General features: G+C 43.6%; 1 protein-coding gene and 1 non-coding gene across 18 annotated transcripts in view; both read right to left on the bottom strand.

Moving 5' to 3' along the window:
• The window catches only part of KIRREL3 (kirre like nephrin family adhesion molecule 3), a 580,037-nt gene that overhangs the window by 552,222 nt on the left and 14,684 nt on the right, over positions 1 to 13,131 (bottom strand). The window lies entirely within an intron of this gene.
• On the bottom strand, positions 12,879 to 12,963 carry MIR3167 (microRNA 3167). Its single transcript, NR_036126.1, has one exon. It is a non-coding gene; the product is annotated as a microRNA 3167 (primary transcript).

Below are 13,131 nucleotides of genomic sequence, written 5' to 3' on the forward strand. Positions count from 1 at the left end.
TTGTTATATAACTGAGGACAGTTATAGTGTTCTCTTCTAAGCCAGTTTTCTTTAAGAATGACAGTCACCTGGGATGGTAGTTCAATTGCAATTTTCTGGGCCCTCCTGGAACTAATTAATCAGACTCTCTACAAATCTAGGGACTGGAGCAGCTAGAATCTTCAAGTTTAAAAAAGCACCCCAGTTGATTCTCATGCACAATAAGCCTGAAGAACTCCTAAGTCTTGCTTTTCTGCCTTAATAATGCTAAGTTCGCTAAGTTCCTCCCACCTTCCTCATATTACATAATTCCCAGGTTTTTCTTTTCCCTCCCTCCCTCCCTCCCTTCCTCCCTCCCTTCCTCCCTCCCTCCCTCCCTCCCTTCCTTCCTTCCCTCCGTCCCCATATCCAAGCTTTCAGTATATGCCCCAGTTTGTAAATGGCTAAGGTGTGGCTCTCAGGACAGAGCATACCCATTCCAGATGTGGGTCACATCAGCAGAGGGTGCCATGGGGGTGTTAGCATCTTCCAGATGAACACATCGCTTTCTACAGAGGATGCTGAGAAGCACATTATTTGTCACCATGCCACATTGTTAGCTCATATTGAGATTTCAATAAGATAACACTCCTCCAATTAAGACCCTGCAATATACCTGACAGAGGAAAATTTGTTTATCAAATTTGTGAATAACACAACATCACAAAGGAGAGACAGATTATGAAATTATAATGACATATTATTTTTCTTAAATGAGATGTTAGCATCACTTGCTTTTAGCAAGCCAAAGGTTGCTTCCAGGGACCACAGATTATTTTCTGAGTGTTTATGAACCGTTACATTAATCTCCTGCAGATTTTTTTCTGGAGATTTATATGTTTACCTGTCCACTGTTTCTGAATCTACTGTCATCTACAATTTTACTTTTTTAAAAAGTGTGACATTTTTCCAGACTCTCCTATTTTGCAGTATTTCTTGACTATTATTCACCCAGAATGGTACCAGGATCATATTTTCAAACGGTTTCAGTGTTCTGGGAAGTTAATTTTGTTGAATCTAGTAATCAGATTTGTTTTAAACATACCATAAGCATCATCATTATTATAGTGATAGTTAATATTTATTGAATTTTTCTATGTGTCAGATAATATGCTGTACTTGCAGCGTATCATTTAATCTACTTAACAAATCTATGGCATACATACTCTTGATATGTCTACATCATAGAAGGGTAAAGGAGAGGGGAGGTTACTACTGGCATAAGGTTATTACTTCACGGTGGAGCTAGGCACTTAATCCTTGATCTGGGTGACTCTAAACCACCAACTTGTATGATCTCTTCCTGTCACATCCCCTATCTCAAGTTTTAATTCCTTCTCAATTCAGCTGATCGTCCCTCAACTATGAACAGCACGATAGGAAAGAGAGTACCAAGAGAGTTAAGAAGAAGTTCTCTGTAACTGATAAACATCATGCTGCATTTCCCAAGGAGGACTGCCCTTTTTATTCTTCTTCCTTCTTGAAACCTAAAAAAATCTCTCTTTTCCTTTTTTCTTTTTCTGCAGGCTTCAGCTCCTTCTGGGTCTTAGTGTCACTTGGCACCTTTGTTACAGGCTCCTGCACCTCTTTTGTCCTCTTCTTCTGCCAGGTGCCCCGCCTGCCATCTTTTGTACCTTTTTTTCAAAACTGAGCTCCTTGGAGAGTGTCTGCGCAGTCAGGTTGGTTTCTTCGGATGCTGCCGCCCTTTCCTTCTTCATCAGGATCATTCGTTTGGTGCTGTCAAAACACTGAAGCTGCCATCTTTCTTGAGCCACCTTTCTTTTTCATCACCCAGCTTTTCATATTGTTTATTTTCTACTGCCTCTGGCGATGCTCCTGATCCTCCAGGATCAGGGTCTGGCCATGCCCAGTGTCCTGTTTTTATTATGAATTCCTAAGATTAGCATCCACTTTCTTTCGAGATTCCCATTATATTAATTCAATCATTCCTGTATTCTTTCAACAAGCATTTATTGAATGCCTACTATGCACCTGTCTATTTCATCAGGTTTATACCTTGTTGGCACAATGCCTGGCACATAGTGGGTGTTCGATAAATATTTGTTGAAAAAGTGAAAATGAGTTAGACTTGAGCCCAGAGTGACAGAGTCCCTTATTGATTTTTCCCCAACCTTCTGAATGATCAAGCTGCTTGTAAGGCAATTAAAAAGTATGTCAAGAACACTGTTTCAGCAGGACCAGCCTTCCAACCAGTGTCTGGAGAGCTGAAGTTGTCAACCCTGGCTGGAACTGGCTCCTGTGCCTGATGTATGGTTGATATTTTGGATCAGGAAAGAGCATCAATTTCCTGTGTACCACACAGTCAGAGGCATCCCTGTCTCCTTTTTCTTGGTGTCCTCACTCAGTTTCTGGGCACGACATGTCCCACTCTCCATTGAGTGGATTTCTGTAGTACGACTCTGCTGCCAGTCTACTGACAGCCTCCTTCTCCAGCACGGCAGCCCACCAAAAGTGCCTCCTTCCAAGCCTGTGGCCACAAGCCCCAGGGATAATGGTCAGCACATTGTGGCGTTGGATTTTTCTGCTACTTAAATTTATGATGATGCAGGGCATGCAGGTAATCAATTATGCGATTCTTTCAGGGTTGCTTCTGCCCTTCCTCTTCTCCAACATTTTCTTTGAAAGGTGACCCTGCTCCACTTCCTCTACCAACATTCTTCCTGTGTCAGATCTGTCCTCCCCTGTGGTGGGCGTGTTCTTCACCTTCCCTTCAAACTTTAGCCAATTAGGTTTCCTCCATTCTTATGTGTGGAACCTCTGGAATGAACCTGCATTCTTTTCTTTGTTAACCCAACCCCTGGCAGCAATTATGTCCTAAAGGAAAGTCCCCTGGTAACCTCAAACAGGTTGCTCCCTCTATCATCCAATATATTCTTGTGTTTACGTGCCCTGGCCAGAAAGCTTTTTGGCTTCCAGGTCTATGCCCAGTGCATTCAGCCACTGATGCTCCTTGGTTCTGGCCACGCCCAGCTCCGTGTGGGTCCCTGAGTGGTCTACGTTCTCCCATGCTTCCCAGGCTTTAGCACCTGCTACTCCCTCTTCTCCTCATCCCGCTCTCTGCCCATTTTCTTAGCTAATGTCCACTCTGCCCTGGAGCTTTGCTTCATGGTGGGAGTTTCTCTGAGCTCTGTTCCCCCAAGGTGGGCTAGGCAACCCTAGTGTCTGCTCCCACAGGAGCTACCATATGTGGATGTCCCCTGGGTCCCTACCTCTCTGCACCCGGGATGCTTATTCTCTTACCTGGCTTCCCTGTTATGCCCTGTGTCCCTGAATACATTGAGGTACACCTGCCTTTCTGAAAGTTTGGCAGGTTTCCCAGTGTGTACTGAGAAAACAACAAGGGTTGCCAGAAATGGGAAACATAATTTCAAGGGGGAGAATGGCAAATGTACAACTCTCCAACAAAACTGAACTCCCAAACACAGTGAAAAGCGCAAACTCTCAGACAAACAGCTATTAAGGACATAGAGTCCGAATTCACCCGGAACAAAAGACCCGTCTATAACCATTATTTATCACTCAGCAAACACTCTCTTTTTGTTCCATTGTCAATGCTCCACAGACCACATCTGCCTTTGGGCAGAGGGGAAAGAGAGAAAGGGAGAGAGAAATGAATAGAAATGAGAGTATGAGTTTCATTTTATTTATTTATTTTACATATAAATCAGCTAATCGGTTTAACATTCATATTAAAGTTGTAATCACCTTTGCATACATTAAAATACAAACTAGCACAAGTAATAGGCCTTAAGAACAACATTACAATAGCTATTAACATATAACAGCTACCTTATCAACTTACAACATCCCTATAAAATAATAACTGCATCCAGGATTGATTTGCGGGAAATTCATTCTCCCAGAGCACTGAAGCCTGACTCGAAGTCTGGGGAAGGTGAGAGTCTGGTTGTTCTTTGGCTGACGCAGAGAGGTGGCTCTTGGGGAGTGAAGGACACCAGAGGCGGAGATAGAGGCTTGAGCTTTCGTTTTGGCTCTATTATCCACTAGAGAGATGACCTGGGGAAAATGTCTTAACCTCACTAAGACTCAGTTTCCTCGTCAGCAAAATAGAAATAAGGGTGTTTCCTTCATAGTGTTTCTGTGAAAACTTAAATGAAATCATAGGAGAGGACCTGGCCTTTGTAGCAGATGCTTAAGAAACGTCAGCATCTTTTCAAGAAAACCAGGTGCTCTTAGAGGGTGCAAGGGCTGGACCAGAAGGATGCTACTTAGAACATAATATGGTATCTTTCCCATTCATTCATTTGCTCACTCATTAAACATTTGTTGAGCACTGTCAGAGATGATATGAAAAATTTTAAAACATTAGAGTTTCTCTCCTTATAGGACTTACCATTGAGTTGGGAAAATATCAAGTCAAGAACAAGCTGGACAGAACTGAACACATGAAAGGATAGAATATACACATTATGTCGGCAGAGAAGAAAGGGCAGAGTGACTGTGAGTGGGAAACAGGAAATCACTACACAGAGAGGTAACCTTTGAGCCAAGCCTTGAAATATGAAGCGTATTTCAGTAAATGATGAGGAAAAGGATATTTTAAGCTAAGGGAACAGCATAAGCAAGGATACAAAGGCATGGCATATCCAGGGAAAATCAAATATTCTTTTTCTGGTGGAAGCTTGAAGAGCAAGGAGGGATGGAGAGGAAGATGCTGGAAAGAGAGATGGTGCCAGACAGAATGAATTGATAGAACAAATGCAAGTATCTACAGATTGTAGGGGACCTTCAAAGCTGGGTAAGGATGGAGGTGTCAGATACCAAGTGAAGGTATTGGGGCTTTGTTTTACAGGCAAAGGGTAGCCAGTGGGCTTGCTGAGAAGGGGAGGAGTAAATTGTGTACCCTATGAAGATACAAGTGGTAATGAATGACAATGGTGAAGGGTGACTGTGAGAAAAAAAATCGAGGAACTTGATAGGGTGCTATAATAGTTTTGGAGAACATGAGTAGGGCAATGGAAGGAAAAATGGAAAGGCAGTATAGATCCATGTGAAAGGCAATAGAGATTAAAACGTGTCATGACAAGAGAACTAATTGGTTATGGGAGATGAGAAAGAGGCTGGTGACTTGGCATCCACACTAAGTGCTGGGAATATAGGATGCTCTTTACGGAGATTAGGACCCCAATTGGGGAGAAAATAATGAGTTTAGTTTTTAGAATGTTGTTTTAAAAGTGATACTGGGCTACATGTGAGAGCATCACCGATCAGGAAAATCAACAACTCACAAATATATTTTCATTGTTACTCTCAGAATTAGCCACCAGAATGGGTGCTAGGAGTGTGAACGTGGAAAGAACCAAGATTCAGTTAGGACACAATAAAATAATTTTGAGATCACTTAGAAATTTTCATCCTCAGTACTTAGCAATGAGAGATGGTATACTTAGATCTCTGTACCGTGGACTATCATTATTCAATTTAAATTGCTACAAAGTACTATTCTTACATGATTGGCCTGAAAGCCTTGATGCTGAGTTCTAGATATTTGAAGCCTAATACCACAAACGTACCTCTCTGGACAAACTGTCACCTGGATTTTTAGACAAAAGAAGGAAAGCATGGCCCGTTGGACCACAGCAAGACCTTCTTATTTTTGCAAGCTATTCTATTTTATTTGTTCTTAGTGTTCAGCCTGGGACCTAGGCAGGCTACAGATGTTACTGCTGATGGCTGCAGTGACCAGTATCAAGTGATTTCTTATGAGACCCTGAAGAAGGAGGCTGATGGCCATTGGGCCCACTGACAGCATATTGCCTAATCGCCATTATTCTGGAGGAAAATGCTCAGGAGGTGTTATATGTGGTGTAGCTTAGGATTCCAGGCAGAAGACAGTCCAGTACCTTCCTAAGTCACTAAGGAAGAGCTAAACACATGGTCCCTGTTTCACTGAAATGAGATCTGCCTCTACCACCCGACTCTATGAAGCAAAGGCAAGGAGGTATTTCTTAATCTGAGAAGACATCTTGCCTTTTATGGCACTGTTAAAACCACACATTTGGGTGTCGGAGGAGGTCTCAGCCACACATGCTCAGGGGGCTTTTATCAATGCACCCCCATCCTTGGAGTAGGTTCCTGAGCTTGGTGCCTGGGGAACTGGGGAAGGCCCCCGTTTCTACCAAAGAGGGCCTCTCTCCAAGGTGCCTCCCAGCTCTAGGCCTGAGGTTTCTGTTGACAGTGCCTGGAGGAGCCATCTGAGCTTCTGTAGCACACACTCCCTTGCTTGGGGGCTCTGCTGGGATGACAGCCTTTAAACACCTCATTAATATTCAAATCTATTCAAGTCATTTCAATTTGAATTCTATGCATATTATCAGATAGAACAAATGCAAATATATACAAATTCATCCATATGAAGAAATAAATAGGGGAAGCTCTGCATAATGGGATTATAATCATTCTCAGGCTTGTCTCTTTCTTTTAATTCCCCAGAGCCCAGAGATCCAGACCCAGCCTCAATGCTCCCACCTGCAACTGTTTAACAGCAACTAAACCTTTCCTGGACACAGGTTCCTCAAGGGCTGAACATTTGAGAAACCTATTATCATTATCAACCTATTATCAACAAAGATGTTATCATTGTCTACTGGTTGCTTCTCTCTCTGGGCTTGTTAAGGTAGAGCTGTCAGAGACTTGTAAGGTGGGTGTGGGCAAGGGGTTGGACTCAGAGACCCATCTGTAGGCTCAGGGGCTGGCCCTAGCCTGGGCACATTGGCCTTCAGGCCTAACAGCCTCAAGTCTTCTATGGAGTCTTGATGCATCTGGTGGGAAGACACTGGGGAGGGGACTAAGTTCCCTAATTTCTTAAATCTTCTCAAACCTGAGGGAGACTTCATAAAGCCTTTAAAGTACATTAACTGAACTTCAACACCTGGGCAACAATGAGTGGCATCTAATGTTATAATCGTATCTCTCCTTTGCAGCAAGACACCTAAGTTGATCCTGGAGCTGCCACTTCTCCTTTACTTCCACGTACTGTTTCTACCCATTCCCCCAGCCCAACACCTCCAGGCGTGACTCTTTTCTAGCCAGATCCTCAGCCAAATGCTAGAAACACAATGCTGTAAGCAGACAAGGAGGGAAAAATCAAAGTGCAGGCAGTAAGCCTCCTACCCTGCAGCAAATCATACATGGACAAACGCAGGGTCCATTCATCCTTTCTTTCACACTGTTGTTGTTGCTCATCTCTATTTCATCTCAACTACTCCAAAGACAGGAGGAGGCCAAGGTCTATAGTATTTTAAAGGAGAGTTCTCATACTCTAGACTAATAAAGCCAAAGTAAATTGCTGTTAAGAATCATTTAGTGAGGTTTAACTACAGCATCTAATAGATGTGCCTGCTAATCTCTCCCCCATGGGACCCAATGATAGTTGCATCTAGTAGTAACTCCATTGATTATGTAAGCGTAATTTGTGCCAAGTCATAGTATGATATTATAATAACCATTTTGTACTAAGCACCTATTATTTGATAATCCCCATAGATATACATGGGGAAGGTCATTTTTTCTAACTTATAAGTAGTGAGGCTACTTGTAGGTACAATATTATAATAACCATTTTGTACTAAGCACCTATTATTTGATAATCCCAATAGATACACACGGGGGAAGGTCATTTTCTCTAACTTACAAGTAGTGAGGCTGAGGCACAGATTTCTTACACAGAGAGGTAGGATAGGAAAGCCTATATTTTCTTCTGAAAGGGAGGGCTCATCTAACGTCTGCCTTTGGTTCTTGCGGTAGACAGAATAATGGCCGCCAAAGATGCCCATGTCCTAATCCCTTTACAGGACAAAAGGGATTTTGCAGATGTAATTAAGTTAAGGTCTTGAGAGAGAGAGATTTTCCTAAATTACCCTCTGTGGTCTGATATAATCACTTGGTTCCTTATGAGAAAGAAGCAGGTGGATCAGAGTCAGTAGTAGGTGAGGTGAAGATGGAAGCAAGAGGTTGGAGTGAAGGGAGGAAGGGGCCACGAGCCAAGGAGTGTAGGCACTCTGCCTCTAGAAGCCAGAAAAGGCCAAGAAATTGATTTTCCCTATAGCCTCCAGAAAGAAACAGCCCTGCAGCACCTGGATGCCAGCCCGTGAGATCCATTCTAGACCTCTGACCTCCAGAAGCTAAGATAGTACATTTGTGTTGTTTTAAGCCACTACGTCTGTGGTAACATGTTAACAGCAGCACTGGGAAACAAATACACTCCATACATAGCCTTTCTCAACTGAGATTCCTCCTCTGAACCAGAGAACCCCGAGAATAATATGATTAACTATTTTTACTTCTCCCAAAAGTAGTACATATCTAGTATCATTTTAGATGCATAGGAAATAATTTAATTCATTGCATGTAATGGATGCCTTTTATGGTATTAGAGGTTAATTCTCCCCATGAGCCCCACTGAGAAAACTTGCACGCCCAGAAAGCCACATGGCACCTTGTCTTGAAAAGAGACTGAGGATGCTAACCAGATCTATTCTGACCTTGGGCAGCAGCTCAGCACATCTGGAGACACTGACCCAGAGGAAGGCAAGTACCTCACCTCTGAATAGTGCCCTTCATAGAGTTTCAAAGCCCTCACAAAAAGGTATTCTCTCTGGAGATTCACAACAACTTCATGAGTCAAGGAGGAGAAAAAGGCTCCTTCCCTCTTCCATACCAAGGCCATGCACCAGGCAAGTGACAGAGCCTGTAGCCTGTCTAGCCTCTGCTCTAGGGCTTGTGTCACATGCTTGGAGGATGAGGAGTTGTGATGAGTGCTCTATGCCTTCAAGCAGGTCTTCCTTGATTGACAGGGGGGCAGACGGACACTTCATGGCAGATGCAGTGCAGGGGGGTCACAGCCTATGGACCCAGTAAAAGGTTGCCCTGGGAAAAGCTTCCAGGCCATTCTCACTGGCTGCTGCCAGGTGCTAAGTCCTTACTATAATGGAGTTATTATGTTCTCTTTGTTATGCCTCATTTACAAGAGAGGGCCTCAGTCAAGAGCAGTTTTCCCCTAGCCTCTGCACAGAGACCCTTGTGCCATAGTTGGAATCAACCACCACTTTTTACCAGGAACTTTGTCCAAGCTCCCCGCACAAATTGCTCTCCTGCCTCTCAATGAAGTATTCACTCCACCAAGCTCCATGTGAGCCCGCAGGAAGTGCCCCCAGGAGCTTCCTCTGCCAAGAACCCTCTAAGCACATACTCTTCGGGGGCAGGAACCCAGGGAGGAGACCTGGAGGAGGGAAATGGAAGAACCCTGGGCTTGGATTTGAACTCCTGGGTTTTCATTTTAACTTTCCCACCCACTACCTGTATGACTTTAGAGAGGCCACTTAAAATAACCTGGCCTTATTTTCCTTACTTTTTAAAGGCAGGATAAGAGTTGATTCAGGGAGGAAGACCATAATTAATGTGAAAGTGTTCTGGAACTATGAAATACTATACACATGCAAGGAAGGATTAAATTATTATCACCTTTTCCCCAAGGAGGACTCGGTGCTCATAGGTACTCGAGTTGTACAAGGCAATAATAATGATAAATAGAGCACGTTCTCTGATGAAACACTTTCATGGGTTTGCAAGTGAAATGCTGGGCACGGAAAGGTAGGAGTTGTCCAGAATCCCTGACACATTATGCTCTTTTCCCATGTAAGAAATACTGATTGTATCTGACTCTGCGCCCAAGTCCAACAAAGCCACTGCACGGTAGATGGAGGTGAGAAGGACCCAGCCCTGGCCGCCAGGAAGCTCACAATATGGAAGGGAAGGCGGACCAGAAACACTCCATGTGGATAAATCATAGTAAGAGCCACAAAAGGCTTCCTGGGGCGCTGTGGAATAAGGAAGGAAGGGCATTTAAATTAGATTGTGGGGAGAGAGGTCAAGGAAACTTCCACCAGGAGGCAAAAGGAGCTGAGTCTTTAGGGTAGAAGTTATCTAGACTAACCTGGGGGAGAGGAGACGGCCACTCCAGAGGGACAGGAGGCACGAGGGAGCAGAGCACATTCGGACAATGTCAGCGGCTCCGTGTGTTGGAGTAAAGGGGCATATGAGAGGGTGGGGAGACTTTCATTCTGAGACTCTTTGTCCTGAAGGTGTCGGGATGCTGTCAAAGGAACGTACACCCATGAGAAGATAGCGAACTCTGTGCAAAGCTGATGATTTGGTTATTGTCACAGCGGAGCTACTGACATAGTTCAATGATGAAAGGAAACTTCAAAACCTTGAGTATAAGGCATGTGCCTTCATGACCCCCCTACTGGATGGGAGAGAGTTAAAGCTGTTGTTTCTGGACACTATATAGCCTAGTGATCTCCTGAAGCCTAAAATGAGTATCTCACAAACACGCCAGCTCACTTAGTCTTTCTGTTTCTCTGTCTCTCCTCTCTGGCCTGTACAATCCACCACCTGTGCCTTTCCCCCTTCCTCTACCATCACTACAGTACTCAGCCACCTGGGGATGCACACAGGGTGTACACGGCATCCACTGTGGGATGAGGGGGCCTTTAAATCTGTGGCTGGCTCCCCCCAAGCCCCTCTTGGTTGCTGGGTTCATCAGCTCATGCATTTGGTTTCCCATTGGTGAGTTGGGTTGAAAAAAGAGGCCCAGATGCCTAGTGATGAGAACATTTTTTTTTATGAATTGAAAAATAAAATGACAATAAGCAGCTAGCAGATCCCAGTTCACAATGAAGTGAATATCAATACTTGTGGTTGTATTGACCTTGAATATTTTTTTAAAAATACAGAGCAAGAATTCTCGGGGTGCATTATTATATACATTCTGAATCTCTTCACTGTACAAAACAGAAAATCTATCCTTTATGGACAAGAGCATCTCTGGTGTACAGCATTGACTTTAAAATCAACTTTCTAAAGTGCAGGTAGAAGAAAATCTATGGCTACTCTTAGAGACATTCTTCCCTGTCAACATAGATTATGACATTGCTTCCCTGGGTTCCACTGGGGTGGGACAGGGAGGAAAGCCCTGCTGAAAGGAAGCACTCTTGATTTCTTTCCAGTTGTGAGAGGAAGGCAATGATGTCAGTGACGGATTGGCATAGCTGCTGTGTTCCACATCATAGGTATGACCTTATCGTAAGTTTGGCTTCTTATGCCCAGGACAGATCCCGATTCCTGATGTAACATGAAAACATGAGAGGCAGCTCCCACGAGTCACCTTAAATTCTCTGGTTAGAAAGTGACTTTCGACTCCCTTGTAGACTTACTATCAGCAGTGTCCACATGGAGGTGAAAATGAGGGGACACCATAAGGAAGCAAGACTCAGCCTTGATGGCACCTGTGCTCCAAGCTGAGCAGGCCTCAGGAGCAGCTGGTGGGCTCGGTATAACACAGGCTGCTGGTCAAAACCCTTCTGATGTAGAAGGTCTGGACTGGGGTCCAAAAATGGGGATTTCTAACAATCTCCAAGTTGACCTGCAGACCACACTTGAAGAACCACGGTGATAGAGAATCTACGAACTCAGATAACCCAGGAACCATAGAAAGACCCTAATACTTCCTTGATATGTGAGATAATTACCTGTCAGGAACACGCAAAGGGAGTCTACACCTAGAATTAAGGGGATACACTGACCCACAAAGATTCCTTTTCCATTGCAATTGTGAGTGAGCAAATCTAGCAGAGTCTATAGTACGCATAAAGTCAACAATGAACAAGACTAAGACAATTTAACTAAAAAATACAACCGTCTATGTATTTTCAAACTTTCCTTGGCATGAATACAATGGCATGGATCTTAGAATATCTGTTGATAATAAGAGTGAAAGGTAGATTTCCTGTTATTTTCACAGACAAACAGGAGAGGTAAGTGTTCAGATTTTCTGGTTGGTATGTCTTGATTCTGACCAGTTCCAGTATTCAGCTGTTTTCACCTGTAAAGTATGGATTTCTCTCTGCAAAAACCTCTGTCCCAATCTGATGAAGAGAACACCCAAAACAAAGCTCATGCCCAGAGAAAGGAGCATTGATATGGATTTGGAACCCAGGCATCAGCTGCCAAGGCTCTGTTGATATGACGGCATGTCCCACTGAAGTAAAAAGAAGGCATTTGAAGTATTCTATGCAGAGATCTATCTTCCTTGCATTCCTCCTCTGTATTGCTCTGATTCGATCTAAAGGAGCTTTGAAAACGTCAAAGAACTTTCATGTTTTGCTAGTTTATCATAAGTGTCTATCTTAAACCAATATTACAATTTTAAGCATGGCCTGGGTAGACATGTGCCATCTTCTAAAATGATTTCTGACACAAGGTAAGTTGTACCAGCCGAGACCAAAGTGAAAAGAATCATAGGCTCTATGACACTCAGGCTCTCCTACATTCTAAGAGTCTTTTTATTTCCCCCTAATAACCATTATTAATCATTTCAGAAACACGTAATCTCCTGATATTTTTACTATTCTAGACTTGACAGAAAAGGAGGGTTTTGAAGTTCTGGAAAGTCTTTTTATGTAGAGTAGCTCCATTCTTCCAGCACACAGCTACCACAAGGCTCAACTCTCCCTAAGCAGAATGGGATTTATTTATTTATTTCTTAATCCACTGAAGGGAAGCTGGGTGATGATGAATTCTTTTAAAGAAATCAGCATTTGGCTTTCAAAATGTTAAGCTATACTGGAAGTGGGTTGTGGAGGCAGAGAGCAGTCGCTAGCCATGGAGGAAAGCTTCTCAAATTCTTACTCAGCTTTTGTTTGGGGGAAGAGGTTTTCTTCCATTTTTATCAGCTCTCCGTCCCAAATCCTACAAGCTATGAAGGAGGGGACCCACCGGCCAGGGCAGGGGTTTCTGTGGCTTGCTGATGGTCACACGGCTGTCGGGACACCAGTATTTCTGAAATCCTTCCTGAAGAATTTCAGAAAAAAGAATTTCAGAAATACTGGTGCCTCCACAGCCGTGTCGAGGGCACAGGTGGGCATAGGCCTGGAGGTGGCTCCTGAATGGAGCAGCAGCAAGGGCTGTAAGGGGTCTGCACAAGGGTGTTTGATTGGCAGGTCTTTGACTCTCCAGTCGAATGACCTTCAGGCAAGTTACCGAATCTGTCTAAGCCTCAGTAGTTTTCAT

Source organism: Homo sapiens, chromosome 11 (assembly GCF_000001405.40).
Source record: "Homo sapiens chromosome 11, GRCh38.p14 Primary Assembly".
Classification (NCBI taxonomy): domain Eukaryota; kingdom Metazoa; phylum Chordata; class Mammalia; order Primates; family Hominidae; genus Homo; species Homo sapiens.